This window comes from Homo sapiens, chromosome 3 (assembly GCF_000001405.40).
Source record: "Homo sapiens chromosome 3, GRCh38.p14 Primary Assembly".
Lineage (NCBI taxonomy): Eukaryota > Metazoa > Chordata > Mammalia > Primates > Hominidae > Homo > Homo sapiens.
In genome coordinates this window covers 1,534,399-1,559,421 of record NC_000003.12, presented here as the reverse complement: position 1 = coordinate 1,559,421, position 25,023 = coordinate 1,534,399, and positions in this window count along the sequence as shown.

The following is a 25,023-nucleotide window of genomic DNA, read 5'->3' as shown; positions in this document are numbered from 1 at the left end:
GGCTGGCATCTGAAATCAAGGTGTTGGTGGGGTTGGTTCCTTTTGAGGGCTGCTAGGAAGAATCTGCTCTATGAGACATTGGCTTGTAGATGGTCATCTTCTTCCATCTTCCCTTGATGTATCTACATTTCTTCTTTTTATGAAGATATTGGTCATATTGGATTAGGACCCACCCTAATGACTTTATTTTAATTTGTTTAACCCCTTTAAAGACTCTGTCTTCAAATAAGGCCACATGCTGAGGTACTGGGTGTTAGAATTTTGTCTTTTTTGGAGGAAACAAAATTCAAGATTACTTGGGGGTAACAAATCAAAACAAATATCCACACAAAGTATGTAGTTTAACAAACAAAGTACTATTAAATAGCGACTATGTGTGAGCCATGTATGCAATATAGGGCGTACATTATATTATTATATTGGAACCCTGCCCTCAAAGAGTTTATGTATGTGAAAAGTAAAGCAATAAGGCTTAATTTGCAGTTTAAGACAAAGGAATTTTTAAGATATGACAAGGAAGTTCATGTATAAATAATAAATTAATTAAATATGTAATACTAATGTAGCTGCCAGAGTTCCAAAGAGGGATATTGTCCCAATAGGTTGGGTGGTGAGAGTGAGAACTTCCAATGCTTTCAATTAAGCTTGGAGAGTGTGACCTTCCAATGCTTTCTTATCAGTTTTAGAATTTTGGCTTTCTTAAAAGTTTTAGAACTTATCAGAAAATTATTTAATCACCTAGTACTGTTTGCTTCTGCTATCTGGCTTGCTAATCTTGCTACCCAGTGTCCCATAAATCCTATTATAATTTGTATGTTGCCTGGACTCCTATATATTTAAAGTGTCCCTTTCTATCTCTTCATATCTCTCCCTTTCTTTCGTTCCATTCTCTTCATCTTCAAATTCAACCTTACTCTTTAAACTGCAACTTTTTTTTTTTTTTGAACCTGTCTCTCAGGCTGGAGTGCAGTGGCATGATCTTGGCTCACTGCAACCTCCACCTCCTGGGTTCAAGTGAATTCTCCTGCCTCAGCCTCCTGAGTAGCTGGGACTACAGGCATGCGCCACCATGCCCAGCTATTTTTTGTACTTTTAGTAGAGATGGGTTTCGCCATGTTGAACAGGCTGGTCTCGAACTCCTGACCTCAGATGATCCACTTGCCTCAGCCTCCCAAAGTGCTGGGATTACAGGCGTGAGCCACTGCGCCTGGCCGAAACTGCAACTTTTAACTGAAAACTTCCTACTCACCTCTCATGATACGATGCTCTCCATCTGTGTAATCAAGTTATTGATGATAAAATGTGACACTATAGTAAGTAATACATTACAAATAAATAGTAATGTGTTTATATATCTCTCTCTGATTTTAATTGCCTTAAAATTAAGAATTATATTTTATTTGTGTTCCCAAAGTCTAGCATACTATTTGCAATGTGAGTAAAATATTCGAAAACTAATTCCAACAATAATTTTCTAATATTCTGTATGAAAAACTGGAGAAGCAAAAGTTTCTTCAATTCAGAGTCTGATAACAATTCTAGGCTTGATGTCATGGAGTGGGTGTAGAATTGCCTACATATTGGCTGCAAGAACCTGAGCACTTCAGCTGTTGTGGGCATCAGACAGCTTAAGTGGGCAAAACTCAAAAGTACTAGTCATTAATCCCACATCTGTGCAGATAAACAGGAATATTTTCTCTGAGAGAAAGTGATAAACTGCTTTGTTTTGTGACAGCCAACATTTGCATTTTAAAGAATGAAGAACAAAAAGAGAATATTTTAAAAGTTAAAATTTCTCCATGAGGATAGTAAATTCCTTATGTAGCTTGCAATATATTGAGTAAAGACTCAAGAAAAGAACAAACGTGGTCTCTTGTGACTTGTTACATACATCTAACTCAGCTCATCCATTTCTGGGATAATAATAACTAATATTTAAGGACCACACTATATGCTAAGCCATCAATGGATGGAGAAAATGCTGAGATTTCATGAAGTTATTTTCAAGCATGTGACTCTAATAAAGCTTCAGCTTTAAGAAACATTATCCAGTTATGAAATTTGTAAATAGCAATATCTTTCATATACTTGTTAATCACAAGTGTCAGAAATGTAATAAACCATTTAAAAAGGTTGCCTAGTATTGATACACGAGTCTATCAACAGTCTTTTCCTGCATTTTCCAATGCCCAGATAAAGTTTTCAATGGAATAGTAAACAGAGTGCTATAAAGGCTACAGACATAAAATATTATTTCCAATATGCAAGGAATAGAATTTTCTAATTATATTTTTTCTCAATATTAGCAAGTATGATTTGTTGGTAAAACAGATCAATACATCATAATTTCACTGTATATGTTTGCCTTTTTGTTCTATTAAAATTACATAATATTGTCCTCTCTAAATTTAGAATAATATGAAATTAATTTTTCCAAATTGGGAGTTTGAGAACCGGAGTATTTTAATGGTGAGATTGCAGAGAAAGAAAATATTTCCAATTTAACAGATTTGATAATCTCAGTGAAGATGACCAACAAATACTAAAGAAAATCATGTAATTTCATTTCTCTGATGCAGATTTTTAAAATAAAGTAACTTGATTCATGCTAAGGTATATATTTATTGAGACAAACTTAGAGACCAAGTCATTGGTAATTGATTACGTCTATTGTTGTTCTCCCACTCCATTGCCATCATATTAGACTGCTAAATTTGAATGGGGAAACCATCTTCTCTTCTATTATTTTACATAGTAGAAACCAGTCAAAGTAAATATCTACTGAAAGCTTATTTCATTGAAAAATATTTCCTTAGACATTAGAAAATACCAGTCTTTAAAAATTTAAATATATTAATATTTATAGATGCTACAGGGGTAATGACATTTTTCTTTATTTCAATTTATATAGTCAGACATTGTGGATCATTGTAAAATCATTCTGTAATGTTTTAGTCTTTCATGTAGCTAGTACTGTTGTTATACTGTATCAATGCTAGTACAATTCCTAGATGACCATACCAAGTTTAACTTAAGCTTAGAACACATACTGAACTTGAGTATCAAGTGAAACAGTCATTTGAATGATTTATATCTTCTAAAAACCAGTTGAGCCATCAGGATATTGATAGATATATTACTTAGATCTCTTCAAAGTGTGGAGGAATTATTGTGTATGAAGTCAAAGCATGTGCTCTTGGGTCAGTAGGCAAGAAAACAGCAATCAAAATAAGATGACAGAAAGGGCTAAAGGAAGCCAAGATAAAGCTAAGATCGAAGCCCACATGATTCCAGAAAAAAAAAAATGATGTCATTTATGATAAGAGAGTTCTGGCTCTAGCAATTACATTGGGGAAAGTTACCTTACCTCTCTGATTTCCTTACCTGCAAAATGAAGAGTTTCACAGGAATAAAACCAGATGATCTCCCAGTTTGAGGAGACCCTTGAGAGCACTCATCCTAACCTCCAGCTAATATGGAAGGCCCAGTGTGAATGGCCACCGTGACTCAAGTGAAAGAGAATCTCTTACTTGGCGAGAAACCTTGTTCCATTAAGATAAAGTTCTAATAGGTGATAATTTCACATTTGAGCAGCACATTACGGTTTAGAAAAGGGTCTCACTGACATTACCTTTGATAGTCATGTGATCGTATAGTAGAAGGAAAAGATTGTTTTTAATAATCCTCATTTTATGCATCAGGAAATTAAGATTTAAAGAGGGTAACTGATCTCTCTGATACCACAACAGCCAGTACAATACATGTTGTTGCAGACATACAAACAAAAGTGTTTGCATTCCAAGTTCAGTGTACTTCCTATTATACCTCATTGACTCTCTATAAGTGTCTGCTCATATTGCACTAAGATCTACTTCTCTCCAATCCCCACCCATTGATCCTAGCATTATTATTTGGACTAATAAGCATTTGATATATTTTAACATAGCAAACATTTTAAACATAACTTAAGTCACTGCAAGACCTCTTTAGGACTTTTCCCTATAGTATGTAGATGATGTTTGATGATATATTTGTTGATGTGTTTGACAGAGAGACTGTGGTGGGAGAAAGAATTAGAAGACAATTAAAAGTCTTAAGGATAATTTAGAAGGGGGCACTGCTAATTACAGCTGAATCACAAATCAAGAAGATGCCATTCTGATGAGGTATTTCAGAAGCTAAATATAAGGAAATATTAGAAGAGATTCAGTAAGTCTAGAAAAGCTTCATGGAATGGATGAGTATTTTGAGTTTTGAAATAGCAAGTATCCCATGCAGTTGAACGCTATCCTCATGAACTTTGTAATTTGATCATTAGACTTCAGAAAAAAAATTCAGAAGAAGGAGACTTAAAGCGTGATGAAGCAGGACAGCAGCTGGCACCTGCTTCTACCTGTTGCCATTTATCCAAGAGAGAAAACTCCATAACTTTCACTGATGACCTCTCACCTTGGTGATCATTTCCTCTCCCAGAGGGTAGTCCAATTAAATGTCACCCTAACCTATTTATTCCACAAATATAAACACAACATCTGTGAAATAATTTGTCAGAGAGAGTTAACCATTCAGGAAAATGTATGCCGTTCCTCCACAGAATAGTGTGGTGGCTGGGAACTGGCTGCCCAGACAGAAACTACATGTGCCAGACTCCCTTGCATTTAAGTGAGGGCATATGCCTATTTTTTGCTGTCAGAATGTCAGTGAAAGTAACATATGTCACTTCTAGTATGAGGAGGTTAAGAAGTGTGAATATCTTCTTCACTGTCTCCTTTTTTCACCTTCTTTGATCTCAGCACAGAAGACTCTGGAATGCTAGACAATGGGAGAATTCCATGATTAAAAAAAAAATGAATCTCTAAACCTTTAGATGGAAGAAATTCACATTCAGACTAGAAACATTTGCACCAGAAGTGTTATCTTAGCAAGAAATAAGCTTCAGTTGTGTTGTCACTGAACTTTTGAGGTTTATTTATTAAATCAGCTTGCATTAGGCAAGTTAATATAGGAAGGCAGTGGTGAATGAGACACAAGATGAAATGAAGGAAAGAGGGAAATCCGTTCTAGATGTAGTTGTGAATTTCTTATACAGTTCATTGTCATTTCTTAGGACTGGTTTCCCAGTATTCAGATCATTCTACATTATATTTCCTAAATTTGTTTTTCAAATTTCTCCATCAGCAAATTTTTGAAATTTAAATTTATTTTTCTGAAGTTTTAAAGGTGAAAATAATTAAACATGTTCCATTACTGAATTTCTCTTACTCAGGCTATTTTGAAATTTCATATGTGTAAAAACACTGGAAAAGAACATAAATTCACCCTTGTCTCACTTTCATTTTTCCATCCAAAAAGCATTTGTGCCACGGACTATTCCACTCTCTCTGGATTCTTTCCCAGGTTCACTCTTCTACTGTTATAATATTGATTACTAGAACACTTTCTAATAAACTTATTATCAGGGAAGCTCAAAAGATCCTGAAAACAACCCTTAATTGTGTGAGCATTTAAGTTTAATTTGATCTTCATTACTCTATTTTAAATCAGGCTTAATTTTCATACTAAAATTATTCATACCTTGATTTTATATCATAATTCATTCATCCTCTTAAATAAAGAATGCTTCTTCTTTTTAATTTTTTTAAATATAAGATCTATCGAGAGATCACAAAAGTACAGAAAATTTTATTTAACACTTTACTGGCCATCTGCCATTCTGTGTATGGTAGTCAACAATGATTTGTCAAACAATTAACAGAGTCAATAAATACTCACAGAATAACCTGATCTGCCTGCCACCAGTAGTCACTAGTTGGGAATTAATGTACTGAAACTATTCAACATCACACCTGATACCCAACCAGATGGAGAGCAAGCATGACATAGCAGATGATGATTAATGATAAAGATGATATAGTTCACTGATAACATTTTGGGCCCTGAAAACCTTTTCTCTTCTGGAACCTTTAATCTGCAAACATGTACCATATAATAAAGACTTCTTTAAGCAGAGCTGTATGCACACTTTGAAGTTTTCAGAAAAACACAAATATCAATATGAAAAAAGGAACTGAGGTCTAAATTCACTTGAGTCATCCCGTGATAGAAAAAATTATAATCTGTATTATTACAAAAATTAAAATATGAACATTTTATCCAAGTCACCAGGGGGCTTAGTGTTCATGTTTATAAAACTAAGACTGTTTACACAAACAAATAATCAAAGGAGTCAATTCTGAGAGTGGGGAAAAAAAGAGTAAAATGAAAGAATTATTCAAGCTGGCTGTTTCTTCTGTATCTGATGGCATCTCTGTACATTGGCAGTATTGCTGTTATTCAGGAGAACATGGGCTTTCAGCCAGACTGTCTCATTGTCATCCAAGTTTTACCACCTCTGCTGTGACCTTGAGCAAATTATGTATACTCTCTGAGTGCCATAATAAAAAAAATACTTGGGTAGTGTATATATGTGTGTGTTGTGAAGATTGCCAGGCACATGGTAAGTACTCGGTGTGTGCCATTATTATCCAAACTCAGCTTGAACATTTGTAATAGAGAGAACTAAACTATACTTCTACACAAGGCAGATTACTCATTACTGAAAATTCCAGGTTGTTTGATACCTCTATCTTATGTTTAATATTTTTCCCTAGGTAATTCATACACATTGGCTCATGTTCAATCCTTTAGTATAGTGATTTTCAAAATGTAATTCCAGACCAGCAGTGGAGAGAGAGAGATGAATCTATTATAAGAAGCTGGCAGGCTAAAACCCCATGAGCACGGGATGAAGCTGTTGTCCGTAGTGGGAGTCTCTCTTCCTCTCTGTCTTCTGTTTTTCTCTTCTCTCCTCTCCTCTCCTCTCCTCTCCTCTTTCTCTGCACTCCTACTTTCCCCTCCTCTCCCTTCTTCCTCTCCCCTCCCCTTCTTTTTCAATCCCTCTCTCAGGATGGAAATTCTAGGTACTCTTTTAAGGCCTTCCACCTGATTAAGTCAGGTCCACCCAAGATTATCTCCCTAATTTATTTATTTATTTTTAATTCATAAAGAACATAAACTTCATCAGAGTTCTGGAGGCTGAGATGTCCAAGATTAAGCACAGGCATGTTGTGTGTCTGCTCCATCTTCACATGGCAGAGGAGCATAAGAACAAAAAGGAGCAAACACTCTCCAAAGCCTCTTTTATAAAGCATTAATCCATTCATGAGAGCAGAGTCATCATGACATAGTCAACTCATTAAAGACCCTCTCTTAATATCACTGCAATGGGAATTAAGTTTCACCATAAATTTTGGAGGGGACACTACATTCAAACTGTAGCAATTCATCCCTGGGCTTCCGAAATTCATGTTTTTCTCACATACAAAATACATTTATTCCATTTCAACAGCCTTCAAAGTCTTAATTTTTCCAGCATCAACTTTAAAGTCTAAGTCCAAAGTCTCATCTAAACGTTATGTAAATCAGATTTGGGTGAGGCTCAAGGTATGATTCATTCTGAGGCAAATTGCTCTCTAAGCTGTGAGCCTGTGAAATCAAACATCTTATGTGCTTCCAAAATACAATGGTGGGACAAGCATTAAATAGATATTCCAATTCCAAAAAGCAGAAATAGATAAGAGGAAAGTAGTAAAAGGCCCTGAGTAAGTTCAAAACTCAATAGGGCAAACAATATGAAATCTTGAGGCTTGAGAAAAATCTTCTTTGACTCTATGCATGACTATCTGGACACACTGGGGTGGAGGTTGGTCCCCTAAGGCCTGGGGCAGCCCACCATCATCACTTTGCTGGGTGCAGGCTGCACGGCAGCTCTCAGCGGTTGGAGTTAGGTTCTGTAGCTCTTCCAGGCTAGAGTTGTTGCACACTTGTGGCTCTGCAGGTCTGGCATCTTGGGGGAAGCCTCACTCTCCAAGCCTCCACTAAGCATTGTCCTAGTGGGGGCTTTCTACAATGGTGCCAAATGACCTCCTTAAAGTCAACTAATTAGGATGTTAATTACACCTGCCAGATCCTTTCACAGCAGTACTAATATCAGCGCTTCACTGAATCACTGGGAAAAGGTGGTTTGTGTATGGTACGAAGTGGCTGCTGCTTTCCTTCCTTCTTCCAACTCTTAAGAGGCTATCTCTGGTAGCCCACTCTATGTAGAAACCTACAAGAAGGAATTATGAGGAACTTAGTGTAGCCTAGCCAAGTTCACACACCAAAAAGCCATCACACCAACCAAATCAGAAACTCTAGGTGTGGGTTCCAGCAATCTGTCTTAAGAGGCTCTCCAAGGATACTGATGCATATTTAAATTTGAAAATGACTGCTTTAGGACAGCCTAGAGTGTTCAATCTTTCTTTTTTATGATAGCCATGAAATTACTGGAATATGGTTAGTGTATGTTCTTAAAATATATGCTCTGACATTATATAGATAAAACCTTTGTGAGCAGGTAAATAAATGTGCTGTTTTAATCATATTGTTTCAAAATCATACTTCGTCTTTTTAAATATGTTATTCTTTTGCATATTTCTCTAGTTGATTCACTCTGTACTCCCTACAAATTAACTATAGTACTTGAAATTGGCTAGAATAAGTGTTTTCAACAGTACATGTAATATGACTTCATTATTATTACATAGTAATCCCATGAATTTAGTTAATTAAATTTCATCTATTCTCCTATAATACACGCTCCTCTAATCATGCGCCACTGAATATCAATCTCAAAAGCAAAGACAGGTCAGTATATTTATTTTCACTTTCAGGAAATGATGAGTGTTCCTATACTGTGCCAGTATACAGAGGTAGAGTTGCATATTTTAAATAAGAATCTTACAGAGTCTATTGAAAAGAAGGAGTAGCCAAAACAAGTTGAGTATCCCTAATGTAAAAATTTGATATCTGAAATGCTCTGAAATCTGACTTTTGGAGGGCTGACAAGGCACTCAAAGGAAATGCTCATGGGAGTATTTTGGATTTTGAATGGTGTATTAGTCCGTTCTCACATGGCTCTAAAGAACTACCTGAGACTGGGTAATTTATAAGGAAAAGAGGGTTAATTGACTCACAGTTCCACAGGCTATACAGGAAGAGTGGCTGGGAGGCCTCAGGAAACTTACAATCATGGCAGAAGGTGAATGGGAAGTAAGCACAGTTTACCATAGCAGAGCAGGAGACAGAGAGTGAAGGGGGAAGTGCTACACACTTTAAAACAACCAGATCTCATTAAAACAACCAGATCTCATGAGAACTCACTATCATGAGAACAGCCAGGGGGAAATCTGCCCCCATGATCTAATCCTCTCCACCCATCCATGATCCAATCATCTCCCAGGTCCCTCCACCTACATTGGGGATTACAATTCAACATGAGATTTGGGTAGAGAAACAGAACCAAACCATGTCAAATGGTATTGGAATGTAAATATTATAATTGTTTTAATCTGACATCTGAAATACTTCTCATCCCAAGTGTATGGGATAACGAATACTCAGTCTATCATATGATGGTCCATTATCAGGACTATCCCTATTTTAGTGATAGATACACCCGACTGAACTAGCCTGACGCTTTTAAGCATTAAGTTTATATAAGTGATACTTCTTGCTTTACTTCTGTGCTCACCAAACACTTTACTGGTTATAACGGTTCATTCTTTACAGCACTGCCGATGCAAAAGTGTATTATAATTGCTGATGTAAGACTGCTGTCCACATGATAGTTACATTTCTCCCTGAGATTTAATAATTGTCATAAAGTTATAAGCCAAGAGTGTCTGACTTTGGTAAAATTCTTAGAAGTGGGAAATGCCCTCAAATTTGTGGAGAATGTATGTGTTTATAAAATTAATGAAGACATTCATGTGCAAATACTTGCCTGTGTGCACTCAAAGGCAACTATAAAGAGTGGATATTTCAGAATTATTTGTAATATTAAAAAATGGAACAATATTTTTGTATCTAGCAATAGATGAATGGCTTATGCAACAATAATTCATGCAATGGACTATCATCTTTCAGCTAAAATGAATAAGATAGCTTCACAGAAAGATTTCCAAGACATGTTTTTAAATGTAGATAAAGATATTTTAGGAAAAGGTTTATTCTATGTCAAGGATTGGCAGACTGTTCATTGAAGGGCCAGATGGTAAATATCTAAGGCTTTGCAGGGCAGGAGAGAACATTGAAGTTGTTATGTAGGTTCTTATATAATTATTTAAAATGTAACCATTAAAAAATATAAAAATCTTCCTTGGTTCACAGGCAGTAAAGCATGCCGTTGACAAGATTTGGTCCACAGGCTGTAGTTTTCTGAACTCTGTTTTATATGATCTCATTTCTACGTCTACATGTATGACCACATAAATATCTTTGTAGAAATCTGAAGAAATACATACCAGACTGATCATATGCACATCTGGAAACAGAAATTATATTGGGATGGAAATTTGCAAGTCAGATCATTGTTTTATCTATATTTTTGTAATTTTTACATGGATTTGTATATGCACATATAGACATATAGACACACACACGTGAAAGGGGTCAACATTCATGACTCTTGGGAGGTGTTACAAACAAGGAGGGCACTCTATGTAGCAAGACACCTCGACCTCTGCACCAATCTCAGTCCAGTTTACAGAGAGAATCAAAGTCAAGATTTTCAACTTTTCCTTATATCTGGCTTACTGTATAGCACCAAAGAACAGAGAGGAGACTATGAAGATCTAACTTATTTCTTTATTATCTATTCTAACTTGACAATGTCAGGGGGAAGAGTAACAGGGATCCCCCAAATCCCTCTTGAGTACCTAAAGTTCATCCTTGTGTATCTAACTCAAAATCCTCTCCTTCAAGACATCATTGTTTCTCTCAAGTATAACTCTCTTTAAAATTCCTCTCAAGACTTTCACTTAAGATGGAGCAAATTAGACTATATTCAGAAGTGCTTTTAATTATTATTTAATTTGCACGACCTTTTCCCCCAATATATTTCCATTCTTACGAGGTAGAGTCTGCACAGTGCAACCTTAACTTATATTTAACTTTATTTGGTTAGATTTCCACCATATTCTTTGCCTTTCTCACTCTTTTGACTAAAAACATGCAAATGATTTCACAGTTTTTCGTGTTTTCTTATTGTATTTTTCACTTCTCCATGACTTTCTTGTGGCCCATATACTTTTTCTAGAATTTACTAACTTGATTTCTGTTATTTCTAGAAGCTAACCACAATGCCTCTTTCTTCTCTTACACAGTTGATTTTGCATGGTCTTCCCATTTCAATCAGTGTTTCATGTTTAACATTGCAAAAGTTGTCTCTTCTGTGAAATAAGCTATAAAGTTAATAGGTGATATTTCATGGGTCTTCCAAGGTGTAAACATACATCATGATGCAAGCTCTTCAGAGCACTCCCTCAAGGATTGTTGTTCTTATTCCAATTTGTGGTTTATCTTGATGAAATTGCAAGAATTTGGCTGGAGCCAAGCTTAAGAAGCATGGCTAATCTTTCTCCCACTCAACTCAGGTTCTACGTAGTTCTTTTCAACATTGTAGCAGAATCTTTATTACACACTCTTACCTCGGACTCAAATATTAAAAAAGAATAAAACATATATAAGTCAAAGTTTTCTTGTCTAGTACTATCTCTTAGTAGTATAAACCTCAGTGATTTTAGAGTGATTGTGAGATTTGTCTTTAAAAAATAGTTTAAAACCTCTAGTTCAGTGCTTCTCATACTGTCTGTGGTGAAGACCCAGTATGTTGATAGATAATTACCCACGGAACTCTCATGTTACTGCATGTCTTATGGGTGACAGAGTCACTTAAAGCCCTTTATTCCAAACTGTATTTTCAAAGATGTTTGTACAGTGCACAGCCTTAGAAGATAATTTATCTTCTCCTTCTGGAAACATAAATTTTCTACAATCTGAACATAAAGATAGTATCTCCCTTTGGAGGAAAGGGCAGGGATGCTTATTGTTCATTAAAAAGATCCGGAAGCCTAAATTCAGGATCCCTCTTTTGTAGTGCAGTTCACTGCATGTGTAACTGCAATTCAGTAGCCTTCGTATTATCTGAGAATCAGATCCGTGAATCAATGGAAAAATACTCTGCCTACTCTTATTGCTACAAGTCATAAACTGTCTTTAGTCTATGTGCCGAGAGTCCCTTTTCTTCCTACCAGATCTATGAGACTGTGGCAGACTCTCTAATTTATTAACTTGGACACAAACACAGAGTAAAATCTGAATCCCTTTAAAATTCTTGCCACAGGCCTGGCGTGGTGGCTCATACCTGTAATCCTAGCACTTTGCTTTGGGTGGGCAGATCGTTTGAGCACAGGAGTATGAGACTGGTCTGGGCAACATGGTGAAACCATGTCTCTACGAAAAAATACAAAAAATAGCCGGGCAAGGTGGCATGTACCTGTAGTCCCAGCTAATCGAGAGGCTGAGGTGGGAGGATTACCTGAGCCCAGGAGGTCAAGCCTACAGTGAGCCATGATCGTGCCACTGCACTCCAGTCTGGGTGACAGAGTGAGACGCTGTCTCAAAAAAGCAAATAAATAAAATTTCTTGACACAATGTTGTCTTTTGATTTTCATTTCCAATTGGTCACATACTGATATTTTTATATAATACAAGCTTGTGGTAGATAGCTTCTGAGGTAACTACCAATAATTCCTGATTCATGCCCTGGTGTAATCTCTCCTTGAGTGTGAATCAGGTGTTGTGAATTTCTTCTAGTGAGCAGAATATCACAAAATGGATGGGATGTCTCTTCCAAGATTGAGTCATGAATGAACCCTGGCTTCCATCTTATTTCCCTCCTCATTCTCCCTTGCTTGCTTACTATGATGAAAGTTAGAAACACTGTTGTAATTTTTTCCCTATGGAGAGGTCCACATAATAAGGAACTGATGGAGACCTTCATCCCATTGCTAGTGATAAAGATGAGATCCTCAGTCTAACAACCAACAATAATCTGAATCCTGCCAAAACCATGTGAGTGAAATTAAAGAAAGGTAGATACTCTCCTAGGTGATCCTTCAGATGAGACCACAGCCCTGGCCAACATTTTGATTTCAGCCTTGTAAAATTTTGAGAAAGAAGACCCTGCTAAACTATAACCAGGTTCCTGACCTAGAAAAGCTGGGAAATAATAAATATTTGTTGTTTACACCTTCTAAATTTTGACATAACTTGTTATGCAGTAATAAACAACTAACAGTTTAAGCACTAGCATCGGTTCATAGAGTGCTCTTCCCCTACTCTAGATGGCAAGTGCTCCCAGGAAAGGAATTCCATCTACCCTGATCAATAATGTATCCCCCACATTGTGTATATAATAGGTTATTACCGAATTATTTTTGAAAAGATTAATAAGCTACTAGCCAAATCCAATTATGACCAGAATACCTGATAATGAGCTATAAATTGAGAATTAAGAAATATGAGGGTTGGTAAGTGGTATGTAGAAAAGCTAATGTATTATTAGGAGAATGATAGATGACATATAAATAGATGGAGGAGGAGTTTGAAAGTAATAGTTTAAATAATAATAATGTATGGGATTTATTCTTGATGGACACATAGACATAAATGAACCCAAACATGTATACAGTAAGTCCTGAGTTAATATCGTCAATAGGTGCTTGGCAACTGCAAGTTTAAGTGAAATGACCTATGATGAAACCAATGTTATAATAGGCTGATTGATATAAGTGAGAGTTAAGTTTCTATGGCATATGTCTCGTCACAAAATCATCATCAAACTTCTAAATAAAGACTAAAACTCTTCTAATATTAAACATTGAGATAAATGTGAGCTATAATACATTTAAGAAAGATTAATAAAACAAGTATGATAATTATATACCCAATTATTACAGTTCAGGATTCAGTTCAGTTCATTAAGGTTCAGTCCAACCTCAGGGGTAAGAAACCAATTGGTATCGTTTCAGTATTTATCACCTCCAAATCTCATGTTGAAATTTGATTCCCAGCTGGAGAATCCTGACAGCTCAGGGTGAAGGGTGGAAACCAACCTTGGACAGGATTCCATCCCATTGCAGGGTACACTTACCCATGCCCACACTCACGCTGGGAAAATGTAGACACACCAATTCATCTAACGTGCACAGCTTTGGGATGTGGGAGAAAACTGGAGAACCCAGAGAAAACCCACACAGTCATGGGCAGAACGTGCAAACTCCACACAGACAGTGGCTCTGGCCAGGAACCAATTTTATCTTCCCATCAACATCATAAAGAAATGATGTTGAACAAAATGTTATTTGAGGACCTGCTGTATAAGAGATTTGGCTCAATTAGATATATACAAACCCCTTGACTGTCTTCTACTTTTCTATTATTTTTATCTTTCATATTTATATATACTTTTTCAGTTTAAAAAAGAGGCTACCCTTTTAGCTAACATTTTGGTAACTGATTTGTTACCAAATCAGTGTTTAAAACAACTAGAGCACCAGACTATTGCTATTGATTGTGTGACTGAAATCATTTAATCTGTGTGGCCCATAGTGACTGCAACTGTATAAAGACCATCAGTTAAATGGTCTCTAAAGTCTCCTGTAAAAAGTAAAAATTCGGTGAATCCTTACTCCTCCTGTAAAGGTCAAAATAAGTCAGCACGTACTGATCTGAAAGAAACATTTTATGAAGCTCTTTAAAAAGCAGGTCTAATTCCAATTTAATGCAACCTCACCAATTTAAGAAGCCAATTGATATGGTTTTGATATTTATCCCCTCCAAATCTCATGTTGAAATTTGATTCCCACTTGGAGGTGGGTCCTGGTAGGAGGTGTTTGGTTTGTGAGGGCAGATCTCTTATGAACAGACTTGGTGCTTATTGCTTTATTAGTTCAAGAGACAGCTGGTTGTTCAAAAGAGCTTGACACCTTCCTCCGCTCCTCACTCACTCGCTTTGTGACACTTCCGTTCCTCCTTCACCTTCTGCCATGAATAGAACCTTCTTGAGGTCCTTACCAGAAGCAGATAGTGATGCCATCCTTCTTGTTCAGCCTGCAGAACCAAGAGCCAAAAAAACTTCTTTTCTTTATAAATTACCTAGCCTCAAGTGTTCCTTTACAGCAATCCAAATTGGACTAAAATAGCAACACTTTAAAAAATCTCTAAATATTAAAATTATTCCTTACGACTAAAGCAATCACTTTCCAAAGGGAAAGTCATTGTTTTGGGCCACTACATTTTATAGAAAGAGTTACAAAGAACAGCTCACTGAACATAATAGTTTTCTTAAAAAATCCTAAATTAATAATTTTTAAAATTTAATTTATAATTTGAATTGTTTTAGTTTTATAATTTTTGAGATGTGTTTTATTTACTTTGGATTGATTTTCATCTGACAGAGAATTCATCATTTTAACTTGCAGTTTCTGTATTGCCTAATATCTTTGCAAGTGAATTTATGACTTGTAAATACTGAATCAGCCAAGAAATCCCATTATGTATTGGTGTATTTATAGAGCAATCTTTATTTTTGTACCACTAAAATTATACCTTATTTCCAATTATCTCTAATGGATTTTCTTATTTTTATTCAAAATTCCCCCCAATGCATTTGCTTAATTAAAGTACAACAATAGTTTTCCACATCCACTCAAGCTGAAAGCATTAATTTTTTTTTTTTTCTAAAGTAAGATGGATAGCTTACCTCCCTATAAAGGAAGAAAACCTATTTAGATAACAGGCTTAGTAGGTAGCCGAAATTGAGTTGTAGGTTTGAATTCAATAAGAAGATGCAGATATAATATTTATGCTATAAGTAAATTATCAAATTAGGAAATGTTTCAATTATCAGTGCACAAAAATTTAAAAAGACAATTAACAATTTTCTACAAAAATGCAATTCACAAGAGAAAAGAAAAGTAACAAAGTTAAAAGTCTACAGAAAAATTTGTCTCATTAGTAAAAGGCTATACATTTCCAGGAGCTGATAAATCATAGAATGAAGAGTGCTGATTTAGAAGTGATCAAAGAACTAAAGATATGAATTTAAGAAATTCATGACTTTTACATTTTAAAAGCACAGTTTATTTGCTAATAAAAAGTAAATAAGCACTGAAAGTGCCCCCCATTGTTTTGAAAAGACAGGTTATCTGCACAAAATGGCAGATATGAATTGACTGTGTCCATAAAATTCCTCGATATGTTGGCTAGAATATATACAGGATGCCTTCACTGGCTTTCTTTACATTTATGGCAATGCACTTATTTCTGTGTTTGATAAAAATGCATACTCCTACCAGGATGTAATATAGGACAAACTGAATTTGTAACTGTGAACTCAATCAGAAATGTCACATTTTAATATAAATCTCAACTAATCTGGTCTGACAAGCTCACCATTAAGGAATAGGGTCTGTATTTCACATGTGGAAACAATTCTTAGAAAGCCTCTCAGGCATTAAATATGACTTCCCGGCATACTAGGGCACTGACAAATTTGGGAGATCTTGGAGGAAGGGGAAAAACTCTTGTAAATACTGAAGACAAAAACTAGTAGAAATAGGTGGTTTTTTGTTCTCAGAGAAGATGACTTAGAAAACATAAAAAGAAAGAAAAGATAAATAACGTCTTGCAGACTCATCATATGGATATTTTACAGGGCTTTAGATTTACTGACCATAGACCAAGGAGGCTTATGTGCGTTAATGAATAACACTTTTGCACCTATATAAATAAAATTGGCCACAGTCAGATAAAATATACACCATGTAACTACACAAACCTATAAAATAGCAGTTAGTCATGGGATTATTTCTGTCAATTATTTCCAAATGTGGGGAAGTGGTTCAAAGGCATAATATCAGTATGTTTATGAAAATACATATTGTAGCTTCAAAATCAGATATGAAAATTTAATATAAATGCTTTAAAAATTCTTAGAGTTAATTATAGAAGAGAACAAAGAAAGCATGGAAGAAATCAATCCATTTTTTAAAAGCACTAGCATTGAGTTCTTTCAAAAGCTTGGATTTTAAGGTTTCCAGATGGTTGAAGAGCAAGAGCAAATTCTGTAATGGTTAAAGAGTAAAAAACTCATAATATGAAAAAAAAATTAAATGTCATTCGGTGGATAGTCTGGATTGTGTGAAAGTATTTGAAGTAAGAAGAAATTAAGACAGTTAAAGTAAATTTTCTTAATTATATTACAGTTTAAGACACTACATGTTGTAAAAACTGCTGTGCTTATTAGTTACTGTGGCACCTTATTTTATTTATTTAGCTATCACATAGTCATACTATTATTAAACCAGTTTTGAAGTATATTAATAAGAATAGCACAGTTTATTGCTTTAAAATGTAGCAGTAAAATTTTGATTTCCATGCTCAACGTACATAAACAGAAAGTTATATTGAACCTAATTTCTCTCTTCACGACCCTCTGCCACTCTATTTCAGTCTTTGGGATAGAAATATACACTTACAAAAACTTTTTAAAAATTTGTCTATAATATCTAGGTTAATGCTTCCAAATATTTTTAAAATATTTACCTCTCAAAGTTAAACATATTATTAAACAGAATATAAGAAGTATTTCCTTAGCTCCAATTATGCAAACAACCCTGAAATGGGTTTTTTCGTTGATCAAAAGAAATATAACAAACTCTGCCTTTGAGGAACTCAAAAATCCTTCCAAGAATCCTGCATGTACACGAGTAAAACAATAAAAATAATGTAACACATAATTGACTATTATAACACTGAAAATAACATCATGATTATATTTTATGGTACACTTTGTAAGTCACTTAATATAAAACAAGAATTACAATTGTGAATTTCAGAATTAGAATAATTGCCATTCACCTCCACAAAACATTATTTTATGAAACTTTTAAAACTGTCTTAGTATATAAAGCAGATTCTATGGCTCTAACGTGCTTTGAAATATTTGAATGAAATGCTTTAATGTCATCACTATTGATTATTACTATTTGTCTTTGTTAGAAGTCTGGTAGTAAACATGTGAGGGACTAACATCAAAATAGAATTGCAATAAACCATAATGGGCACAAAAACATGTCAAATGTATTTCCACTGGTCTTTCCTCCCTTCAAACCAGGAATGGTTATGAAGTTGAGTGAGCTGGTATATACATGAAAGATGATAATCAATTTTTTTTAATCTTACTGTCTTATAACAGTAGTTTCCAAACTACTGTATCTCATAGTATCTCAAATAATATTTTTAAATGAGTTTGTTGTCATAGTTTTGCTCATTTTAAAAAATTGCCAAGACCTAATTGGAAAATTAAAAAACATTTCTTTAAATTCAACAAATTTAGCTCTGTAGGAAAACTTTCACTAAAGGGTCCTTATTTTTCTTTTTGCTACAAACCTCCAGGTTCACTCAGGCTGTGTGTAGGTATTCTACTGCTAAAGAGTTCTTTCTTCCATACTCCACATTTTATTTGACTTCTTAATGAGAGTCAGGCTTTTTGTTCTCTAATATATGACACCCAATTAACTAGGGATTTATGAATACTAGACAATGTGAGAATGTACCTAGGTTTTAGAACCAGCACCGCTAAATGGCACAGTTCCAGAAGGCTCTTTCATATTGTATTCTATTTGAATATAGACCCTCTAAAGCACAGAGAATATATCAATGACAGTTTTGAATTTGGGCAACATTGCAAACCCTCTTGAAATACTCTGGAATCTGGACAATATCACCTAATTGGCAGTGTAGACCACTGATTGTTAAAAAATGATAAATTTCCCTAAAAGAACCAGAAATGACCTTCTCTATTGCCTTTTTTCCCTTCCTTTTCTTTTTTCTTTTTTGACATAATGTTATGGTGAAGGGAAGAAAATACAACTGGGAAGATGGGAAGAGAGTATGGACAATATTTTGCAATTGCATATTTAAATGTTTTTATTTTTGTATTCTTTGTATCACTCTCTGAGGGAGATATATTCTGTCCTTATGACGTGCTCTGAAATGTCATGAAATCAGGGTTATTCTCAAAGATTCTATGAACCAGAAAAGGTTACCACTTCAGTGTTGCACCAGTTGTTTAAAGACTCTGATGAGGGCTAACGGGTTATCTGATGTCACTATGACCACTGTTTACCTGCCTAGCCAGGTGAGCACCCCAATTGTTATATTTCTAAGGGAGATGGGCCTTGATGGCATCAATAATATAATCTGAAGTAAAATTGCCAAAATTCTTATGTCTAAAACCAAATGGTTTACATAACCTGAAAAACAAATCTTAGAGTTTATATGTGTGAATCTATTTCTATATGTGTATCCATTTCAAAAAACCCATGTTGCTTGGTAGAATCTCCTGCCAAGCAACAAGGTAGAATCTCCTGGTAGAATATTCTCAGAAGTTCTAATGGGAGTTACTATTGAAAAACACTGAGTTATAAAAATGATTTAAATACATAACTGAATTTTAAGTAGAACACCAGGAGAGAAAAAGATTTAAGCAATTGTTTTTTTTTTAATCAGAAAAACATAAACTCTTTGAAATAGTACCAGATAGTCTCTTTGAAATGTAAATTACCGAATGCAGTGATGAGCTAGAGTTGTGACTGGTTTTGGTATAAATTAGCAAAGAACTATGTACATTAGCTATTAAATGAATATAATTTGTCCATCATGCAATTATAAAGCTTTCAGCCACTTTACCTATAGACTTTTCAATGTTAAACTTTAACTGGAATTGGAAAGGATGTCTTGTAGCATATCTTCTGGGCAGGCAAATTTCAATGCTTGTGCTGAGGGCAAATCCAGACCTTGTACTTGCAGATGCTTTATATTGAAGGCAACAGTTACCAATGAGGTGTAAATACTTTGTCAGAACCTCATAAAATATTCAATCTTGTTTTCTTCTTGGAGGAGTAAGAGGCAGATTCTGCAAAATATTGCCTGCAATCACATATAGAGAATTTTATCCAGGAAAAAAAATATTTTTTAAAGTGTGTGCTTTAAGTAATCTACCCCAAGGATGTCCTTGGTCACTTCTTTTTATTTCTATTTTTCAACATTAGAGTATATTTTTAGTAGAATTTGTATGATGTGATGAAAATACATAGCTGACTCAACTGAAGCTGAGTAGTCTCTAGAGTGTTCATGTGTAAATGTCTAATATCTTGATCAGAAATAGTGTCCTACAGAAAAGGCTAGCATGTGGCATTAACTCCATAATTTCTCAGTGAGAAAAAAGAAATCAAGATAAATAATCTCTGAACGGACCCAAAATGGATGGAAGCAAATGATATCAGATGACTTCTGAATGCATGGGAGATAAAAGAAATTGAATCCTATTATACAGTCATTGCTAATGTACCCAAGTGAGAAGAAGAGAATAGTACAGGATAAAGATGGCTCAATGAAGAAGGATGGTTTGAGGCAAACATTGTTGAATTGAATTGGAAAGAACTAAACCAAACAATGTCATACATTTGCTGCTTAATAAATAAGAAGTGAAGAAACAAGAGCCACGTTGAAGGCAACTGCTGAGAAAATGTGAATCAAACCAAGATAAATAATATTCAAGGATTGTTACTGAGACCCAGCAGGGTGAAGGAAGATAAATGATATAAAACACCCATCTTTAAATGTACTAGTGATAAACCAAGATCAATCTTTCCAGATTTAAAAGTAAAGAAGGGAGTATCTTGCAGTGGAATTTTGATAGGTGCAATACAATAAATATATCTACTGGTTACCATTGGCTTCCTACCCATGGGGTATGCAGTATCTCCTATCCTCTTTCCTATCATAGCCCTAATATGATTCTGTTAGCTTACTAGCCAGCCCTTCCTAGACATGTTCGGTCATAAAAGAATGAATGTTTGAAGGCATCCATAGTATGAAATTAATTAATATATCCTACTAATATAAAAAGAAACTAGCTATACAATCCTTGGGAAAATTGAGGGAGTGATCACTCATTTTTTTTTGAGGGCTTATCTGTCTCCCACTGGATATTTTTAAAAAAATAACGACGTTGCTCCTGTGGACAGCCATCTTAAAATTCAACAGACAGCAGCCTTACGATGAAGCTGAGAGTAATTATGACAGAGTATTTAGACAGAAAGCATCATTAGCCATTGAATTATCCAAACCTGAGTCATTGCCAACCTTTCAGTTTTGTATTAGGTACGATAACCTTCCTTATTCTTGAAAGCAGTCTGAGTTTGTAGAATTGTTTTTGTTATATATAGTAGAAATAATTCTAAATGATAAAAGTCTCCCTCCTGAAGTTAAAATATCATGTATTTCCAAATGATACATTTTATATATATTTATTTACTCTTCAGCTACAAATCGCCTCCAATCCAAGAAACCTATATATTTTTTCAATGCCTTTCTTTTAATTACATAACATTCATGAATTACCTTGATTTCATTTGGGCTGATTCTTTAAAGTCTACAAGTATACATTATGAAATCGCCTGATGAGATGCTTTGAGGTAGACTTATTTAGAAACAATAAAGTTCTAGGGAATCCTAGACACTATAAGAGACTGTGCTGTTGTATCTACTGGAAATTAACCATTGCCATTCCCTTTTACAGTCTTTTGTTTATTGAACAAACATTCTATTTGAATGTTTGTCTATCCTGCTAAATAGTCAAAGTTATGGAAAGAACATGATTTCTGAAAAAGATTGTGCCTTATTTTATCTATATGCTGTAAAATGAATTATCTATTTATATATAAAAGTGAATTTCAGTGTAGGCATGTTGCAGGAATCTTGGAGTGTACCAATATCTTCACAACTTTTATATTTAAAACTCAGGTTTTTCTAAGAAGCTTTAGCAATATATCAGTTATGCCAGTTGTCATTCTCTTTACTCAAACATCTGACGCTGTTCAGGATTTTACATAAACTTTCCTCTTTATTTGCAGCAGGATGATATCGTGGGAACCTGCCCCCAATATTTCAACGTAGGTTCTTTCTATTCCATAAGTGTCAGCCAATCTGAGAAATAAAGAGAAAGAGCACAAACAGAGGAGTTTTACAGCTGGGCCACTGAGAGTGACATCGCGTATCAGTAGGACCCGTGATGCCCACCTGAGCCTTAAAAGCCAGCAAGTTTTATTAAGGATTTCAAAAGGGGAGGGGGTGCAACAACAGGGAGTAGGTCACAAAGATCACATGCTTCAAAGGGCAAAAAGGAGAATAAAGATCACATGCAAAGGGCAAAAGCAGAATTACTGATAAGAGTTTATGTTCAGCGGTGCACGTATTGTCTTGATAAACATCTTAAACAACAGAAAACAGGGCTTGAGATCAGAGAACTGGTCTGACCTCAAATTTTCCAGGGTGGGGTTTTTCCCCACCCTAGTAAACCTGGAGGTACTGCAGAAGACCAAGGCATATTTCAGTCCTTGTCTCAGCCGCATAAGACAGACGCTCCCAGAGCGGCCGTTTATAGACCTCTCCCCAGGAATGCATTCTTTACCCAGGGTATTAATTATTAATATTCCTTGCTAGGAAAAGAATTTAGCGATATCTTCCCTACTTGCTCGTCCATTTATAGGCTCTCTGCAAGAAGAAAAATATGGCTCTATTTTGCCCAACCCCACAGGCAGTCAGACCTTATGGTTGTCTTCCCTTGTTCCCTGAAAATAGCTGTTATTCTGTTCTTTTTCAAGGTGCACTGATTTCATATTGTTCAAACACACATGTTTTACAATCAATTTGTACAGTTAACACAATAGTGATCCTGAGGTGATGTACATCCTCAGCCTACAAAGATAACAGGATTAAGACAATAAAGTAAGACAGGTGTAAGAAATTATAAGAGTATTATTTGGGAACTGATAAATGTCCATGAAATCTTCACAATTGATGTTCCTCTGCCGTGGCTCCAGTTGGTCCCTCTGTTCAGTGTCCCTGACTTCCCACAACAGGATGAAATGAAAAGAACTTCTGCTTAGAGACAGAAGTTCTTATTTGTGGCCCTGGTTCTGCCACAAAAGTGGTATAGCTTTCAGGAAGAGTAACTGGATGATTCCTGATCACTCCTCTTCTGAGTTCCAGATTCACACATCCAACAAGCAGAATCAATTCATGGAAGAAATTAAATCCCTAAGACTCAATTTCCTGAAATGACTCAACAACTTTGAAAAAGGGACATGAGGTATCAAAAAGAACTCATGTAAATGTTATCTGAGACTGGTAATGTTCTATTTATACCTAAATGATTATTATGAAATACATCCTTGAAGCTCGTATGCTCTTTCTCCCAGCTCTTATCACAGTTGGGTCTCTGAGTAAGCCCATGCTGAGGTGGGCTTTGGGATGCAAAGTTTTTGTTTGTTTGTTCGTTTTGTTTTTTAATGGATCAATACCTATGACAGGAAGAAGGAGGAAGCAGGACTGGGCAGAAGTCCAACTGTAATGAATGTCTGACATAGCATTGGCCAACCAGGTGTGGGTGCAAGAGACTCTGGAAAGAGTATTGGCCATCAGAATTGGCTTGTATCTGACTGAGATGTCAGATGCTTATACTTCTGCCTTTCTCAGTCACTGTGTTCAGGCTGCTCTTGGAATAGTGTGACCTTGGTTGGACCAGCTTTCTGCAGCAGAGACAAATCTTGAAGGAGCTGACAGCTGAAAGATGTCTACACTGCACTTCCTTGAAGGGAGATCTCATAAGTACCTCACCAACTTTACCATACTCTTAATACAGCTCTTATATAACTTTGCTATGTCTTATGCTTTCTCTGATATCCTTGATATAGAACTTTTCAACCGTTCAGTTTAAGCCTCCTGCTGTCTCATTCTCTGTTTTCTTTTTTAAAGGTCCTTTTTATTTCTTTCATTTGAGTTCTTTATGATGATGACTCATAATCTATGCCTGGCCTATTTCCTGGGCTCAACTTCCACATTTTAATAGTGTTGTAGACACCTTTGATTTGATGTCATTCTGAAAAGAAAGTCATTTTTAAAAATGATTCTTTTTCAGCTGCTTTTTTCTCTGTTTCTACCCTTATCACCTAAATTGACACAAAATGTCTCAGTAAACAGCCCCAGTATCTTCTCATCTCATATTCTTCCTTCTTCATCTATACTTCCCCTTAACTTTCTTCTCTGGATCCCTAAGTGAACTAAGTTTTTGCATTCACTAAATCCATCTTCTAGATTTTCCTTACTAACATAGATGTAATTTGATTCTCAACTTTTCATGTTCATAATTTTCCTACAAAAATGCTCCCTTTTAATCAATCTGGTCTAGCCACTGTCACCTTGAGCACCAGTAATATAGAAACTTTCCATATTGGCTCTTGCCTTTCTTGTTATCCGAATTCTGTATATATTCTTCTTGTCTTTCAAAAAGCTTTTTCTCATTCATTACATACCTTAAAAATTGCATTATTGGTGATGCCAGTCTTTATCCTTTCAATTTGATATTATTTCTTTATCTTCTGAATTTTTATGATGTTCACTATTTTTTACTACTCGTTTGAAACAAATGAGACATATTTTCATTTTGAAATAAAATATTTTAATATAGTTCTTCTAAAAATACCTATAGAATGTTTATTATGAACCATCTAGACATATTAAGCTTTAGTAATCTACAGTGAAAAAAATATGTCAGTGTATATGCATAGACCTCAGTCTGGTAGGTAGAGAGACAACTAAACAAATAATCAAAGAAATCAATGCAATATTGCTATTGTGTTATTAGAATAACATGTTTATTGTACCTGGAATCTATATAAGAAAATATAATGATATCAAAAAGCCTAGAGGAAACCTTTCTTTAGATATTAACTATTGAGCTGAAATCTATTTGGTAAACAGGAGAGAGTTCAGTGAAAATGGGGGGAAAGAACAACATGTGCAGAGAAAACCATGTATGAAAAGACCTTGTGCTGGGAGATGGAGCGGGACTTAGGGGAAATCAACAAGCGGTCCATATGGAAGAAGTCAAAGTAAAATATGAGATGAGTCAGCATATGTAGGAGGAGGTGCCAGAACATTGTTAGGCCCAGAACATCGAGGGGTTTG